Below are 17662 nucleotides of genomic sequence, written 5' to 3' on the forward strand. Positions count from 1 at the left end.
TTTCTTGGAAATGTCCATGTGCTTCAGTTAAATGTCATCTCCTCCAGGAAGCCTTTTTTTTGAAGCATCCCATAGTCACCCCCTCCATCACGATTCATCAATGTCCTGCCCCATCCGGGTCAAGCATGAGGGATGCTGTTTTCCAATGGTCCTGCCTTGAACATGGGCTCCCAAGGCCCACAGAGACCACTTCATCATCTTTGTACGTTCAGTACCGTGCAGAGTGGCACAAAATAGATGCTCTGAGTTTACTGAATGAATATGCTTCTGGGAGAGCACCCACCCTCCCCTTCCCCAGTTATCTAAACAGGCTGAAGAGTGCTAAGAAGGACCTTAGGCTTTGGAATCAGATAGACTTGTTCAAACCTGGGCTCTCCCTCTTACCGTGTGGCCTTGAGCTATTTCTCCATTTGTTTTCTCATCTATGAAGTGAGGATAGTAATGCCTGTGTCACAGATGATTGTGAGGCGGATGAAATAATACTGTGAGTCTCTGAGCACAGGGTAATCATAAACACAGGGATACCCCTCAACATATAAACCCTCGTGGGCTCCTAGACCCCCTGACCCCTCAGAACCCCTTCTGGAGCCACTAGGATCTCGTTCAAGGCTGGTCCACCTCACACGAATCCTACCCCATGGGCGCTGGGAAGGTGGGTTTGCTTTTTGGGTTACGTGTGGTCTCCTCGGGGGTACTTTCTGTGTGTGCGATCAGCCAAGCACAGAGTATGGAATTTAGGGGGCCGGGTGGGCAGGGACAGCAACTGGGCTTGGGGACAAGCCACAGGTCCCCCTGCACTGGGCCTGGGGGCAGGGCAGGGCAGGACTTGCCTTGCACGTCAGCTGCACTTGGCAGTCCTCCGTGACCTTCCACTGCAACGGCCGCTCAAAATAGGGACCTGTGCGTGCAAAACAAATGTGCCCACTGTCAGAGAGCCAGGCTCAGCCAGGGTGCCACCTGTGTCCAGGCAGTGCTGGGGGGAGGGACAGCTAATGGCTATGGACTTCTCAGATGCTGCCTCTGCCAGGGCTGGGACTGGGGTGAGGCAGGGGCGGTGCTCAGAGCGCAAATTTCTTTCTTTCTTTCTTCCTTCCTTTCTTTCTTTCTTTCTTTCCTTCTTTCTTTCTTTCTTTCCTTCTTTCTTTCTTTCTTTCTTTCTTTCTTTCTTTCTTTCTTTCTTTCCTTCTTTCTTTCTTTTTCCTTCCTTCCTTCCTTCCTTCCTTCCTTCCTTCCTTCCTTCCTTCCTTCCTTCCTTTGTTTCCTTCCTTCTTTCTTTCTTTCTTTATTTTTGAGACAGAGTCTCGCTCTGTTGCCTAGGCTAGAGTGCAGTGGCGCAATCTCGGCTCACTGCAAGCTCCGCCTCCTGGTTTCAAGGATTCTTGTGGCTCAGCCTCCTGAGTAGCTGGAATTACAGGCGTGTGCCACCATGCTCGGCTAATTTTTGTATTTTTCATAGAGATAGGGTTTCACCATGTTGGCCAGGCTGGTCTTGAACTCCTGGCCTCAAGTGATCTGACCACCTTGGCCTCCCAAAGTGCTAGGATTACAGGTGTGGGGCACTGTGCCTGGCTTCAGGGTGCAAAATTTAAGAGGGCTCAGCTCTCACCCTCAGGTCAGGCAAGAGCTATTTTGATCTGGCACTGGGACAGAACTGGACTGAATGACAGTGGACCTCCCTTGGGGACCCAGCAGGGCTGGGGTTCCCATTAATCCGCAGTCCAGCATCTCTAGCACGAACCAGTGGCCAGGGATTTTGAACTTCACCCCAGCAGCTCTTACCCTGTTTTCTCTTCCAGTCCCTTCTCTTAGCATCTGCCTTCCTCAGAAGCTTGTCAAAATCTGTGAACACAGAGGGAGGAACTGGCATGAGCCGAGAGGAGTGTGGGTCTGGAGAGGGGACATGGGGTGGACAGAAGTCGAGGGGGCTGTGCTCAGCAGGCTGCAGAGCCGAGGACTCAGGGCTGCAGGGCAGGCCAGGTGTGCGGGGCAGGGCGGGGCAGGGCTGGGCGGGGCGAGGCTGGGCATGGCTGACCGTCATCCACCAGTGTCAAGGTAATCTGGTTTTTGGCTTTTCCATCTTGGAGTTGAGCGGTGTACGACCCTTTGTCCTCCTCAGACAAGTTCTGGATGATCACTTCCACCAGGCCCTTCTCTCGGTCAAAATTGATTTTGCGGTTCTGAAAAGGACAAACTCCAGAGTCCTTTTCCCTGTTCTGGGAACTTTGTTGTGGGGTACACATCAGAGTGTAGTGGGCTTGGGGGTGGTAAGCACAGAGCTGTCAGCCTTCAGAGACTGGGGCTGGCCGTTGGGTAACCCTCTGCTGCTCCCCCCACACCTAGTCCCCCGGGGTGCTTGAATAAGTTACAATTTTTTGTTGTTGTTTTTTTGAGACAGAGTCTCACTCTTGCCTAGGCTGGGGTGCAGTGGAGCGATCAGTTACAATTTAATAATAAGTCCCGAACCCCTGCTGTGCCATGATTTTGCCTATTTTCTTTTCTTTTTCTTTCTTTTTTTGTTTTTTGTTTTTTTCTTGAGACAGTGTCTCACTCCATCGCAGAGTCTCGCTCCATCACCCAGGCTGGAGTGCAGTGGCGCAATCTCGGCTCACTGCAGCTTCTGCCTCCCATGTTCAAGCAATTCTCCTGCCTCAGTCTCCTGAGTAGCTGGGATTACAAGCATGCGCCACCACACCCAGCTTATTTTTGTATTTTTAGTAGAGACTGGGTTTCACCATGTTGGCCAGGCTGGTCTCGAACTCCTGGCCTCAAGTGATCTGCCTGCCTCGGCCTCCCAAAGTGCTGGGATTACAGTCGTGAGCCATTGTGCCCAGCAGCTTATTTCCTACTTCTTTTAAAATAGGAAAAACCCCATTGGCGTGTGTAAAGGATAATGGAAAAAAAAATACTCGTGTACTTGCTACCCAGAATTAACACTCATTTACATTTTACCATATTCTAACAGTTTTTAAAATTTCATTTTCCTCATCTAGGTTCTTTCTTCCTCTGGCTTTATTTGTATGTATGATTTGGGGGAGTAATCTAATTTTGTTTTATTTTTCTATAGGGACAACTGATTGTCCCACCACTGAATACTAATGAGTCCAGACTTTGTAACACTTCCTTTACCATGTGGTAAGGTCATTGCACAAGCTTTATGCAGAACTTTCAAATCAGTTTTCTGATTTGCATCTTTTGATGCTGGGACAACCAGCCCCATTGCACAGATGGAGAAACACAGGCACAGACAGGTGAAGAGACCTGCCAAGGTCATATAACCCACAGCAGGTGGACATGAGACTCCTGTCAGAACTAGTGCCCTCTTTCTATAATACATGTTTTCTTTCTTCTTTTTTTTGTCATTGGACCTTTGATATATATATAACACATATTTTCTTCCTTTTTTCTTTTCTTTCTTTCTTTCTTTCTTTTTTTTTTTTGAGACAGAGTCTCACTTTATTGCCCAGGCTGGAGTACAGTGGCACGATTTTGGCTCACTGCAACCTCTGTCTCCCGGGTTCAAGCGATTCTCGTGCCTCAGCCTCCTGAGTAGCTGAGAGTACAGGTGCGCACCACCATGCCTGGCTAAGTTTTTGTATTTTTAGTAGAGATGGGGTTTCATCATGTTGGCCAGGCTGGTCTTGAACTCCTGACCTCAGGTGATTCGCCTGCCTCGGCCTCCCAATGTGCTGGGATTTCAGGCATGGGCACCCCGCCCAGCCACAACACGTATTTTCTAATGGCTGCTTTGCCATCTGGAGATGAAATTCACAAATAATATGAGATTGAGTCATGAATTTGAATCTCTCATGAGGTTGACATCGCCATGTCAGCAGTAAACAGTTGAATATTGACAAATCATGTGGTTCAATCTAATACAACCTATCTACAGATATGATTTACAAAATAATATACTCTAACCATAATATAAAGAAGAAATAAGTCGTTTAAAATAAAAATATTTCAATATATAGGTGCTTGGATATAACCTTAATTATGCTGCCCTGCTTTATAATGAATCGGTTTGACTTTAAGAGAAGAAAAGCAAAAAAATCAGAAGCTATTCTGTACAAAAGCAGGAAAATGAATGAGCATAGGTAAAGTAACCAGCAGAATAAAAATTCTCCATTCAGTGTATAGTAACATTGCACACTTTGGGAGGCTGAGGCAGGAGGATTGCCTGAGTTCAGGAGTTTGCAGCCTGGGCAACAAGGCAAAACCCTGTCTCTACAAAAAAAAAAAATATAAAAATTAGCTGGGCGTGGTGGTGTGTGACTGTGGTCCCAACTACTCGGGAGGCTGAGGTGGGAGGATCGCTTGAGTCTGGGAGGTTGAGGCTGCAATGAGCTGAGATCATGCCACTGCACTTTAGCCATGGTGACAAAGTGAGGTTCTGTCTCAAAAACAAACAAAAACAGAAAACAAAAAATAAAATTGTTTGGGAGACTGAGGCAGAAGGAGTACTTAAGGCCAGGAGTTCAAGACCAACCTGGTCAACATAGTGAGTCCCCATCTCTAATTAAAAAGATAAAAAAAGAAAAAAATTGTACAAAAATAGTTTGTATTTATACCTAAAACAGAGTTAGAGTCTAGCCTTGGATAATTATAGGCATGAACGCAGGTTTTTCATCTTAAGAATGTCTGGTGGGGTAATCAGAAGTTGTGGGGGGTGTGGGAATTCTTTGTTTGTGGGAATGTCCCTTGCACTGGCCAGCATGTAGTGTCCCTGCCAACCCCACCCCCAACACCAGCACTGGTACTAAGAGCCAAATGTTCCCATCCCGTCCTCATCACTGCAACAGCAAAAGCACACCGTCATTTCTGAAATGGCCACTAGGGGGAAGTACCAGCCCATGCGGAATCACCATCCCGCGAGGCCACCTCCCCGGCAGGGGAGCCTCACTTCAGGGATTGTGAGCACCCAATTACCGGCGAGCTGAAGATCTCCTTGTTGTTGAAGATTAGATGTAGCTCAGCGGCTGGAGATAACTTTTCTACTTCCAGCCAAAGCCGCACCTCCCCTCGCTCCAGGATGTCAATGTTCCAGCCGGAGATCAGTTTGATCACTGGGAGGCGCAGGACGGGAAGGGGGTGGGTTGGACCCCTTCTCCCTTTCCCGCTCCCTTCCAGCCCCACCTTGAGCACACCCTTGGCATCTGACATGCAAAACCTTTAGAGAACCTGAAGGAGACTGTACTGGGTGGGGCTCAGAGGAGGGTTTTCCGAATGCCCACTCTAGATTTAATTAATCTCAGCGAAGCGTTTCCTCTTCTAAGAGCTCTGGGGCTGCAGTTCTCAACCTGGCAGGGCATTGGATCCCAGACGACTTTCAAAAACCCTAGCATCTGGGCTCCACCCTCAGAGATTCTGATTTGTCTGGGGCATGGCCTAGGTATTGGGATTAGGAAAGGTGTCATCATGGTTCTGTTGTGTAGCCAAGTTTGTGACCTCCCCTGCTCTAGGGACTGTACACACTGTCCCTAGCCAATGGAGAGAAGCAGAGGTTTAGACGATCCCAAATCCTAATGACTAAAGAGCCAATAACAGTAATTATAAAAGAGGAAAACACCCACATTTCCCTTCCTCGCATCCCCTTTCCTGCTGCTCTTTTCCTTCCGTGAGCTTCCCGAGTGGTCCCTGACCTTCTAGCTCTGTGATTCTCCCACCCTCTGTCCCTCTGGGGTTGTTTCCTGGTCCTTGGCCTGACTCTGCTCTGCTCAGAACATGCCAATGGGCCCAGTGGGAACTGCACAAGGCTGGTAGCTTGGACTGCTTGCTTACCTGGGTTTCTGATCTCATGACTCAGCTTCTTCAGCTTCTCCAGCTCTGGGATAGGGGGAAGTGAGGAAGAAACCAGAGAGAATGAAATATCCTGGTCGGGGGTGGGGGGCCCACAGGAGCCGTCCTAGGATCCTGTGCTGGGTCAAAATTCCAAGAGACACCTCCCCCGACCTTGGGGTTCCTTGGCTCCATAGGGGCCATGATGAGTACTGTGAGCCTTTGCCCTGGGGCACTGAGGGTGATGCCGGGGCTGCTGCTGGCCACCCTGAGATTGCGTCCTCTCCCCGTCCTTCAAGGCCTAGATCAAGTCTCGCCTCCCTAGAGGAGCACCTACCATGTGCCTGGTTCTGCATATACTTCATTAGTCCTCTGCAGTGCTGTGGGCTGAGCATTACTGTCTACCTCTGGTCACTCTAGGACCACTGGTGCCAGGGCCTTATTGCTCACCCCTGTCACATGCTATCTTAGTGTCCCTGGGTCTGGACGACACACCGAGCACTGCAGCCCAGAAGTCTCAGACTGTTCTAGAATGCTGTCTCATTTGCTGACCGTTTCTTCTTCTTGTTCGTTTTTTCTTTTTTTTGAGACAGAGTTTCACTCTTGTTGCCCAGGCTGGAGTGCAATGGTGCAATCTTGGCTCACTGCAACCTCCGCCTCCAGGGTTCAAGCAATTCTCCTGCCTCAGCCTCCCAAGTAGCTGGGATTACAAGAATGTGCCACCACGCCCAGCTAATTTTTGTATTTTTAGTAGAGACAGGGTTTCACCATGTTGGCCAGGCTGGTCTTGAACTCCTGACTTCAGGTGATCCGCCCGCCTCAGCCTCCCAAAGTGCTGTGATTATAGGCGTGAGCCACTGTGCCTGGCCTGCTGACTGCTTCTTCGTGTTGCCTTTCCTGCTAAGGCGAGCTCTGAATCTACGTGAATGTTTTGTACACAGTAGGTGCTCAGTCAATATGGACTGTGTGGATGAATTGGCAGGGGCAGAGACCATGCCTCATTTTCCCTAGTAAGCCCCAGAATCCTTAACACTATGAGTCTAGATTCATGGCAAGCACACGGCAAACAAAACCAAAAAAACCCATCATTTTCGTGGATGGCTTTAGTTTGCATAGAATCATCTGATTGTATCTGCATAACAATATTGTTTCAGGTGGGGGCAGCCAGGGATTATAATCCCTCTTTACGGGTGAGGAAACTGAGGCCCAGGAAGGTGGCATGACTTGTCCAAAATCAGCCAGCAAATTATGGAACTGGAATTGGAACCTGGGTCTCTCTGGCTTCTGTTTCTTAACAAAATCAAAAGGCCCCATGTGCCATGAGCAGGGTAGACAATGGGCAAGGGCTGTCCTGGTTGCTACGGAGGTAGCAGAGTGTCTCATCTGTTGTGAGCACAGGCTTTGTTTCAGTTTAATTTATCAAATATGGATGGTCCTTTAGACGTGGTATTCACTCTCTGGTTACCCGCAGTCCCCAGCGCTCCCTATTGTCACCCCATTTCTCAGACCAACTGCTGCTTGCAATTTATCATCACACTTGCACTGTTGTTTTTTGGGGCTACAGAAGGAAACAAAAATAATTCTAGTACCTTTGCTCTTACTAAAAGTGGGAAAACAGGCTGGGCACAGTGGCTCACGCCTGTAATCCCAACACTTTGGGAGGCTGAGGTGGGCGGATCACGAGGTCAGGAGATTGAGACCATCCTGGCTAATACGGTGAAACCCCATCTCTACTAAAAATACAAAAAATTAGCCAGCATGGTGGCAGGCACCTGTAGATCCAGCTACTTGGGAGGCTCAGGCAGGAGAATTGCTTGAACCCGGGAGGCGGAGGTTGCAGTGAGCCGAGATCGTGCCACTGCATTCCAGCCTGGGCGACAGAGCGAGACTCCGTCTAAAAAAAAAAAAAAAAAAAAAAAGGTGGGAAAATAAAAGAGAGACCAGAAAAATGTAAATTTCACTGGGTAGGGATTTATGTCTGTTGAGTTCACTGATGTAATATCCAGGGCCTACCTGGCCTGTGGCAGGTGCTCAACAGATATCTATTGATGGAAAGAATGGGTGGGTGAGGGCCTACTTCTCTGTGGAAATTGCCACTTTACTCATTTTGGTTGCTTTTTGCTGACCTGTGTGGGCATTTGTGTTTGGGACTCTCTCTCTGGGGAGGTGGCAGGGAGCGGGGTAGGTGCATTACCTTCCTCGGTTAGCGTGTGGCTTGCGGAGATGTCTTCATCGGCATCAGTGACTATGACTGAGTAGGTGCCCAAATCCTCGAGGCCGGGTTCTTTCAGGATGACCTTGGACCTGGCAGAGAGAGGAGAGCAGAGGCTCTGGGAGGAGCTCCTTGGTCCTGTGCACTAGAGGCCTGGGAGCCAGGGAGTCCAGGTTGCTTCTGGTGAGCCTGTACCCCAAGCAGACCCTGGCCAAGTCAGGAAGCACAGGCAGCTGCCTCCTGCTACCTCCTTAGGGTCCCCTCTGGCCTGACACCTTCAATGGTGCCATTATCTGGGCTCTCTGGCACTGGGTCTGCACTGGCCACACCACCCTGACTTCCTCCAGGGCTTGAGGCATAGGCTTTATGCCTTCTGGACAGAGCTGAGGCCGTGAGCCGCTGGGGGAGGATGAGACATGGGGGCATGTGACAGGGGCCCTTGTGGTCATCTGGTCCAACTCTGCATACTATAGATGAAGAACCTGAGTACAGAGAACTTGCAAGAGCAAGTCCCTGGCAGCCAGGCTAGAATCCAAGTCCTCTTTGAAGGTCTCCTTGAAGGTACTTAGTTAGAGGCACATACAATTCCCTACAGAAAAGGAATCTCCAAAAGAACAATGCCATTGGCTGAGCGCAGTGGCTCACGCCTGTAATCCCAGCCCTTTGGGAGGCTGAGTGGGGAGGATTGGTTGAGCTCAGGAGTTAGAGACAAGCCTAGACAACATAGCGAGACCCCATCTCTACAAAAAATACAAAAATTAGCTGGGCATGGTGACATGTGCCAAGCTACTCAGGAGGCTGAGGCGGGAGGATCACTTGCTCTTGGGAGGTCAAGGCTGCAGTGAGCCGAGATCATGCCATTGCACAGCCGGGGCAATAGAGCAAGACCCTGTCTCAAAAAAAGAAAAGAAAAGAAAAGAAAAGAAAAGAAGAGAAAAAATAGCACCATTGCAGCCGCTTAAATGCACTCTCCACTCTTCTCACTAAGGTGGCAGTCAGCGTCCTCAGTGAAAGACTGAGCAGCGCCTTTCAACCATCATGGATGGGTCCTGCCCTGTGGTCTCAGCCAGGAGCCCCTGCCAGCTCCTCTGACAGTATTTGGGTCCCGTTGAGCAGTTGTTTCTCCTCTCGCCTCACTTACTTGTTAACTTTATCCTCGATCTTGACCCTCTGGGGGTCCAGTGGGCCCTTGTAGTCTTTGGACCACTGAAACTCTGAGGAGTCGGGGGCTTCAGGGGCTTCAAAAGCCAAATAGATAAAGCCCTCTTCATCCACACCAACCTCGATCTCATGGGCACCTGAGGGCGAGATCCAACAGAGGGCAGCGGATGTTTATGCATAATAAACCAGGTCACACCCCTCCCCTGCTTAAACCTCCAGGGCCTGCCTGTTGCACTTAATAATAAACTTGACTCCTTGCTGTGGCTGCCAAGGCCTTGCAGGATCCGGCTCCTTCCCACCTCAAATGTCACCTCTTCAGAGAGGCCCTCCTTGACTGCCCTAGCTAAGCATCCTATCACCCTGTTTTCTTTCTTTTATAATAAAGCACGTATCTCTATCTTAAATCGCTTTCCTCATGCAATAGTTTACTTGTTTACTGTCTTCTGCTCCCCCCACCCCTACATTAGAGCAGGGATCTTACTCTCTCATTCACTCCTGTATTCGCAGTGCAATGTGCGCATCACCAAATATTTATTAAATGAATGAATAATTAAAAGAATGGAAAGAGAATGTGCTTTGTAGTTGGGAGAGGTGAGTGATTCTGTCATATACTAGCGTGTGACCTGGTTGATCTTCTTTGAGCTATAATAAAATCAGTGCCAGTGTGGGATGATGACCCCTCCCTCAGGGGCTTGCTGGAGGGCCAGAGAAGTGTGAGGGCCTAGCACAGCATCAGGCTTCTCCCAACTTCCCTTGAACTCCACCCGTCCCCAGTGGCGTAGCCCAGTGGCAGAGCTCTGGCCTCTCCGGCCACCCCTACCTGGCTTGTCCTCCAGGAGCACGGGATCAGTGGGCATGGACGGTTGCCCCAGACCAGCTGAATTCATGGCCTGTACCTGGAACACGTAACTCTTTCCTGGCTGCAAGTCGGAAACCTGGGGGCAGAGGGCAAGAGCCAGCACTGAGGACAGCAGTGACTCTTCCTGAAACCTGGGCCCCAGGGAGCAGGGAGCCACTCTCAATAAGAAAACCCTCTCCCTTCTTGTGTCCCTCATCTTTCCATGTGACAAAGATGGCCATTCAACACCTGGGGATTGTCTTTGCCATTCTTTTCTTGGGTCCTCTCCACCAATCACCAGGTTCCATCTGTTTTATTTCCCTAATGTTTCTTTTTTTTTTTTTTTTTTTTTTTTGAGACGGAGTCTCGCTCTGTCGCCCAGGCTGGAGTGCAGTGGCGGGATCTCGGCTCATTGCAAGCTCCACCTCCCGGGTTCACGCCATTCTCCTGCCTCAGCCTCCCAAGTAGCTGGGACTACAGGCGCCCGCCACTACGCCCGGCTAATTTTTTGTATTTTTAGTAGAGACGGGGTTTCACCGTTTTTAGCCGGGATGGTCTCGATCTCCTGACCTCGTGATCCGCCCGCCTCGGCCTCCCAAAGTGCTGGGATTACAGGCGTGAGCCACCGCGCCCGGCCCCTAATGTTTCTTTTTTCTTTTTTTGAGACAGAGTTTCACTCTTGTCACCCAGGCTGGAGTGCAGTGGCGCAATCTCTGCCCACTGCAACCTCTGCTTCTCCGGTTCAAGTGATTCTCCTGCCTCAGCCTCCCAAGTAGCTGGTACTACAGGCACCCACCACCATGCCCGGCTGAGTTTTGTATTTTTAGTAGAGGTGGGGTTTCACCATGTTGGCCAGGCTAATCTCGAACTCCTGACCTCAGGTGATCCACCCCCCCTTGGCCGCCGAAAGTGCTGTGATTACAGGTGTCAGCCACTGCACCTGGCCTCCCTAGTGTTTCTTAAATGTGACCACTTTCCTCCAGGTCCCGTCCACGGTCGTGATTGAGGCTTTGTTTCTCCTCACCTGGGGCAGTCCAACAGTTTCCTAAAGGGCGTTTCTGCCCTGGGACTCTTCTCCCCCAGTCTGTCTTTCCCTCTGCCAATCTGATGATGTGTACATCTTTTAGTGGCCTTCAGGGTCAAGTTCAAATTTCGAGGTCGAGTACCTATAATCTTCCTAACCTGGCCTTAGCCTGTTGTCCTCTTGCCCCTCCATCTGTCCCCTTCACTCCACACTCTCTCAGTATCCCCACATCCATCACGCCATTTCACACCTCCCTGCCTTTGCCCTTGCTGAGTGCGCTGCCTGGAATGCCGTCCCGCCTCCCTCCTGGCTCACTCCAGTGTAGCCTGTGCTTCATCACCCAGTTTCGGCAGATGCATGGATTCCAGGAAGCACCTCTCACCTTCTCCTTTGAGCGTCCAGAATTCCTGAGACCCCCTCAATTGCAGCATTTATCACGCAGTATTGTTATTGCCTGCTACCCAACAACTGTGACTTATTTAGCTTCCCATGCCTAGGAATTGGTCCAGGCCTGGCATTAAAGCAGGTGTGAAGAAATGTTTAGCCGGTGGCTGACTGACCGAATGGCGGCCAACTGTCCACATGCAGAAGCCGGTGCCAGATCACCTAGGCTGTCCCGCCCTGGCCTGGGCCAACCTACATGCGGAGGGGGCGAGCCACTCATATAGGGGAAGACCTCAAGGTCTCAGCAGAGTCCCCTGGCTGAGGCTTGTCTTCCCTGATTCTGTCTGAGGTGGCCTTAATTTCATTTTTTGGTAAAATGAAGGTATTTTAATTTTTTCCGATTATAAAAGAGATACACACTTGTTGGGAAACATTTTAAGTGATAAAGCACAACACGAAATGAAGGACTAAAGCGCCCCTGGCAGGCTCTCCCCCAGAGATGACCAGAATGGACCATTTAGTAACAGTATTTTTAGAGATTTTTTTTTTTTTTGAGGTGGAATCTTGCTCTGTGGCAGGGAGTGCAGTGGTGCGATCTCGGCTCACTGCAACCTCCGCCTCCCAGGTTCAGGTGATTCTCCTGCCTCAGCCTTCTGTGTAGCTGAGATTACAGGCACGCGCCACCACACATGGCTAATTTTTGTATTTTTTTTGTAGAAATGAGGTTTCACTATGTTGGCCAGGCTGGTCTCGAACTCCTGACCTCAGGAGATCCGCCTGCCTCGGCCTCCTAGAGTGCTGGGATTACAGGCATGAGACCCGCCGTGCCCAGCCAAAATCTTTTTAGACTTTTACAAGGACATAATCCATGTAGAAACAGGACATGCACCGTATCCTATTTGTTAGTATCTTATTCTTTGCCATTGTTACGGGCTTCTTGAGCCTGCCTTCTTTCCTCTGGGTGCTCCCTAATGAAATGTTGATGAATGGGTTTGAAAACTGCATATCCTCCTGCCTGCTGGGGAAAAGCACCCAGGAAAATGGGCTGGAGAAATACTTCCCCTTTTCCTAGGGCTGCAGAAAATGGAAACTAATCCACATAACATTCTTACAAATATTCCTCAAATAAAGGAGGCCCTGAGACACATTGGCCTTAGGTGTAGACGCTATGGCCTGTGAAAGTGGCCTTCAGTCACCTGGAAGTCTAACTCTGATTGGTTGTCTAAGGTAGTAATTTGTGTCTGTTAATAATGCTTCAAGTGACTTCTTTGTTTCCTGATATGTCTAAGTATTTGTGAGTTGTCTTGGTTAGGCCAGGAGAAGACTATTTGTGATTTTCTTACCTCCTGCATGTGTGGAAGTTAAAACAACCATCACTCCAGAACAAAACTAGTGATTCTGCTAGACCTCTCATTTAGCCAAAGACTCTAGAGTTTGTTTCTCATTTAAATTAAGGAACATGTATCTGCATACATGTTTATTTATCTATATTATATCTAACATGTTACATATATTATATGCTATTCACATATAAATATCCTACTCTGTATTCTGCTTTGTTTTTCTTAGCCATATAGGATGGATATCTTTTTGTGTCAATACATGCACGTAGGTCCACCTCATTCTTTTTTTTGAGACAGGGTCTTGCTCTGTCCCCCAGGCTGGAGTGCAGTGGTACGATCACGGCTCCCTGCAGCCTGGACCTCTGTGGGCTCAGGTGATCCTCCCACTTCAGCCTCCCGAGTAGCTGGGACTACAGGTATATACCACCACACCTGGCTATTTTTTTTTTTTTCTAGAGATGAAGTTTCTCCATGTTTCCCAGGCTGGTCTGGAACTCCTGGGCTTGAGCAATCCTCCCACCTCGGCCTCCTCAGAGTGCTGAGATTAAAGGAATGAGCCACCATGCCCTGCCCATCTCCATTCTTTATACTGTCTTGTTCCTTTAACTGCCTTATTCTTTATACTGCCTGGCACAGGATTCTACTTTTAAGGTACACTGTGATTAACTTAAGCAACACCCTTACTAATGGACGTTTAAGTTGTTTCCAGCTTGGGCCGTTACAAACAAGGCTACAAGAAGCATCCTTGTCCTTAGATCTTTGCACGTTTGCCTAATTACCTGTCTATAATTCAATCTCAGAAGCAGAATTGCTGGGTCAAGGGATATACATGTGCAAATGCTGATATACCTGGCTGATACCAAGTGAGTCTTTAGGGAGGCACCTGCCTAGCATGGAGCAGGATATGGGCACCAGCCAGCCAGACCTACCTCCAACTTGCTGTGTGACCCTAGGTAAATCGCTCTTCCTCTCTGGTCCTCTGCTTCCATTAAGTGAGAGCAGTGATGTCTGGAGGTCATTCCAGCTCTGATGCTCTAGTGGCAGGGAAGGCTCAGGGCCAGTCAGAAGATGAAGGCATAAGAACTTACCCTCAGGTGGGTGCCAGAGATGGGGCCTGGGGTGACCGGCTTCCACTGCTCAGAGCCTTCCTCCTGGAAACTGACGTGATAGCCTGTGACAGGCCCAGCCCCCATATACAGTGGGGGTTCCCACTGCAGCACCAGGGATGTGGCCCGCACCTCGGATGCCCGTACATCGTACGGGGGGCCTGTGACAAGTGAGAGATGGGAAGAGATGTGTGAGTTGGGCAGCCAGGCAGCCAGCCAGGTAAGCAGCAAGCCCAGCAGTCAGTCAACAAGCTTGTCAATCCCTCAGTCACAGTCAAGCCAGGAAGGGCCTGTTCTGGGTGTCGCCAAGCCCGGGCCAACCTTGGCTTCATGACAAAGCCTGGCTCTGGGCCTGAAACCACGGTTAACTTTTCAAAATGCGCTCAGCCTCCCCTCCTCCCGGTAGCTTCCCTGACCTTCCCCATCCCCATCCCAGACAGCATTAATCCTTCTAAAGTGCTTCAGTGTTTAGTGACTCTAGTGTAACTTCTAGAGTCAGACCTCTGGGGTTCATGTCAAAACTCCACCTCTTCCAGATATGGGGACTCTGGATGAGATACTTAGCCTCTTTGTTCCTGTCCCCTCGTCTGTAAAATGGGGATAATAATAGCTCTTATAATATAGTGCTTTTGTGAGCATTAGTGAGATAATTTATGAAAAGTGTTTGGTACCTAGTAACGGCCCAATAAATACTCGTTGTTTATAATTGTGGTTGTCGAAAGCATCATATGTTTTAGTTATCTGCCACTGAGGTAGAGGTTTTGTGTAGAAAACAGAACTGAGCTGAACAAAATGATGGAAGGGTGTGATTCTCCTTCCTCAGTGGGAGGTGAGGGGCTCATTTGTGAGAAGACTTACTGGGTTATGGGAGCAGTGGGTAGGGTGGCCAACTGTCCATTTGTCCAAGACTAAGAGGGTTCCTGGGACTTGGGATTTTCAGTAGGAAACTGAAAGTCTCAGGCAAACCAGGACTAGTTACTCACCCTAGCAGTGCACCTTTGGGGCTGGAGATTGGTCTATGGCTAGAAGCAGGCAGGCTCTCGAGTTGGGAAATAGTTTGTGCTGGGGATACAGGGCCAGTTGATGGCCCAGGTCAGGGGTCCTTTAAGACAGGCTTAGGACTCCATTTGTGTCAGGAATTATAGAGTGGGTTTGTGCAAGGGCCAGGGGCCTGGGGTGCAGGACAAACAGTGCAAGCCTGAATGCATAGAGGAGAGCGGCAACCTTCATCTCATTGGGTAGGTTTGGGAAGGAGGGAAGGGCAGGCACTGGACTTCAGGCCTGCAGGCCTCTCACCTGGCTGGGGCATTGTCCACTCTTTGCACTCAAACAGGCTGCTGGGTGCCGACAGCTCGCCAACACCTGCCCAGTTGGCAGCCCGGGCACGGAACTCATAGAAGTGGCCTTCATGAAGGTCACTGACCTTTAAGAGCAGAAACACAAACTATGAGGCTGAGGCTGGAGGAGGGATGGGGAACAGAAGCAGTGGTGCGGGAGGGACTCAGAGCAGGTGGTCTGTGGGGGCTTTGCTTTTATTTTTATTTTTTGAGACATGGTCTCACTTTGTCACCCAGGCTGGAGTGCAGTGGCATGAACATGGCTCACTGCAGCCTCAACCTTCTGGGCTCATGCAGTCCTCCTGTGTTAGCCTCTCGAGTAGCCAGGACTACAGGCGCGTGCCACCACACTCAGCTAATTTTTGTATTTTTTGTCAAGACAGGGTTTTGAACATGTTGCAGACTGGTCTCAAACTCCCAAACTCCTGAGCTCAAGCAATCCCAGCTCAAGCTTGGTGGCTCTAAACAGTTCTGTTCAAGGTGGGTCTGCACTGGAAAATGATCTCGATGGCTGAGGCAGGGGAACTTGAGACTTCTGTCAGCCTCTGTCAGACTCCAAGACTCAAGCAGTGCCCTCTGGTCGCTGCTAAACAAGTCATGACACAGGCTGGGGCCACCTTCCAGCCCTACCTTGCAGACCCGGGTGGGGATGGGCTGCTGATTGACCGCATGCCAGTCCAGCTCTTCCGAGTCATGCTGGTCCAGGAAGTAGCCCAGGATCTTGCCACCTCCACGACGCTTGGGGGGTTTCCACCCAATGACCATTTCATTCTTCCCGCAGTTCAGGAGGGCAAAGCCATATGGGGCAGACGGGGTAGCTACAGGGAGGTAAGGAGGTGAGGACAGCTGCTCCCTAGGGGTGGCTGGATTGGACAGTGGGGCCTGAGGGAGCTGACGAGCCTCCTCTAGTTGGTGCCTGCCCTACTCCAGGGGTTTTTCCCTGAGCCAGTAGTATCTGTGCCTCAGGAGGGCATCGGAGCCTCAGGTTTCTGGGTCTGAGGGCTTCCCCACCCCCCAGAGCTGCTCAGGCCCCATCCCATGGCCTCAAGCCATGGTTACTTCCTTCCCAAAGGAAAGGGCAGCCAGGGCCAGCTCCAGTTTCCCTCAGAGGGCGTATGTGCCACTGGCCACCAGGACTGGGCCCTCCAAGATGTGATCTATGAGCCCCAGCTCCCTGCCCAGCCCAGGGAGGTTTGCAGGCTGGACCTGCCCTTGGACTCACCCAGAGCCTGCTTGACCCTGATGGGCTCGGTGGCGGCTGAGCTCTCGCCTACCCCAGCCTCGCTGACTGACCTGACACAAAACTCGTACTCCTTCCCCGTCCTCAGCCCGGGAACTGTAAACCTGGGAGAGAAATGTGCAGCTTTCATGGATGTACAAACAGCCTGGAGACATTCCCAAACTTGCTAGAACAACTTTGTGGAATAAGTGGTCACCAGCGTGGTAGAATTTGAAGGTTCAGGTCAATTCTTCCTAAAAATATTGCCCTTGATCCCATGGCAATGCCTGAGATGACACCGTGGAGGGGGTAGACCTAAGAGTTTTAAAGGATGTTTGCTTTTCCAGATCCACCCTTAAAACGCAAATACGCTAGGAAAGGTTCTAATTTAAAGCAAAGGCAGCCAACCCCAAACCCAGCGCCACATGGTACATCTTCAAGACTTTGGGCTTTGTCCTTGAAAAAGAACATGTGGCTGTTAATACCTGCACTAATGCTGGGATGCAAAAACACCGAGTCCTTTCAGAGCCCTCAAAGAGAATTGTCATCCAGAGACACGCAAGGATGCTCTAGCTTAGAGAAAAATGTCCTTCTCATCCTGTCCCTTCTTGATAAGACCCAATTGTGGACCTCTTTCTCTCTCTTCACCTATCAACGTTCTCCTAGAGCAAATCTTGTTTTGCAGGGAGCTCTTCTCAGCCAGGCCTTCATCTTTCTTCCATGTTGGATGCTTCCTGACCTTGAAAATTGGACTCCAAGTTCTTTAGCTTTTGGACTGGGACTTACACCAGTGGTTTGCCAGGAGCTCTCAGGCCTTCGGCCACAAACTGAAGGCTGCACTGTTGGCTTCCCTACTTTTGAGGTTTTGGGACTCGGACTGGCTTCCTCGCTCCTCAGCTTGCAAACAGCCGGTTGTACGACTTTACTTTGTGATTGTGTGAGTCAATAGTCCTTAATAAACTCCCTTTCCTATATACATCTATCCTATTAGTCTGTCCCTCTAGAGAACCCTGACTGATACAGAAAGGGTGAGGGGTGGTATGGAGCCTGAACTCAGGCCTCCCTGGCTCCAAAGCTCTCCACTGCTCTGCCCTCCCCACCTCTCTCTGGGTTTAAGCTCCTGGAGGGATGAGACCAAGGCATGGTCATCTCTATCCATGGAGTCCTGCAAATAGCACATTCTCAACAAAGTTTGTTGAAAAAGACCATCTGGGTTCAAGTCCCAGTCCTGCCATTTACTAAGCTACAAGGGGCTTTGGCAAG

General features: G+C 49.9%; 1 protein-coding gene and 1 long non-coding RNA gene across 2 annotated transcripts in view, besides 2 other annotated features; one reads left to right on the forward strand and one right to left on the reverse strand.

Annotated features, from left to right (window-relative positions):
• The window catches only part of MYOM3 (myomesin 3), a 56095-nt gene that overhangs the window by 10150 nt on the left and 28283 nt on the right, over nt 1-17662 (reverse strand). The window contains exons 17-28 of the mRNA NM_152372.4: nt 16403-16524; nt 15811-15998; nt 15140-15266; nt 13826-14004; nt 9969-10083; nt 9129-9285; nt 7970-8079; nt 5779-5823; nt 4927-5063; nt 2033-2177; nt 1780-1839; nt 831-898 (exon numbers count right to left, since the gene is read on the reverse strand). Coding sequence (NP_689585.3) covers nt 831-898; nt 1780-1839; nt 2033-2177; nt 4927-5063; nt 5779-5823; nt 7970-8079; nt 9129-9285; nt 9969-10083; nt 13826-14004; nt 15140-15266; nt 15811-15998; nt 16403-16524 — 1453 coding nt within the window. The remainder of the gene's footprint in view (nt 1-830; nt 899-1779; nt 1840-2032; nt 2178-4926; nt 5064-5778; nt 5824-7969; nt 8080-9128; nt 9286-9968; nt 10084-13825; nt 14005-15139; nt 15267-15810; nt 15999-16402; nt 16525-17662) is intronic.
• On the forward strand, nt 572-17165 carry MYOM3-AS1 (MYOM3 antisense RNA 1). Its single transcript, XR_001737930.2, has 3 exons — nt 572-652; nt 15564-15660; nt 17085-17165. It is a non-coding gene; the product is annotated as an MYOM3 antisense RNA 1 (long non-coding RNA).
• Nucleotides 11567-12067: an enhancer, noted in NCBI's record as "H3K4me1 hESC enhancer chr1:24404247-24404747 (GRCh37/hg19 assembly coordinates)". NCBI's record gives its function as "activates a minimal SCP1, AML or CMV promoter by ChIP-STARR-seq in primed H9 embryonic stem cells {active_cell/tissue: H9 hESC(primed)}" and the evidence as "EXISTENCE:reporter gene assay evidence [ECO:0000049][PMID:30033119]".
• Nucleotides 15591-16092: an enhancer, noted in NCBI's record as "H3K4me1 hESC enhancer chr1:24408271-24408772 (GRCh37/hg19 assembly coordinates)". NCBI's record gives its function as "activates a minimal SCP1, AML or CMV promoter by ChIP-STARR-seq in primed H9 embryonic stem cells {active_cell/tissue: H9 hESC(primed)}" and the evidence as "EXISTENCE:reporter gene assay evidence [ECO:0000049][PMID:30033119]".

Source organism: Homo sapiens, chromosome 1 (assembly GCF_000001405.40).
Source record: "Homo sapiens chromosome 1, GRCh38.p14 Primary Assembly".
Classification (NCBI taxonomy): domain Eukaryota; kingdom Metazoa; phylum Chordata; class Mammalia; order Primates; family Hominidae; genus Homo; species Homo sapiens.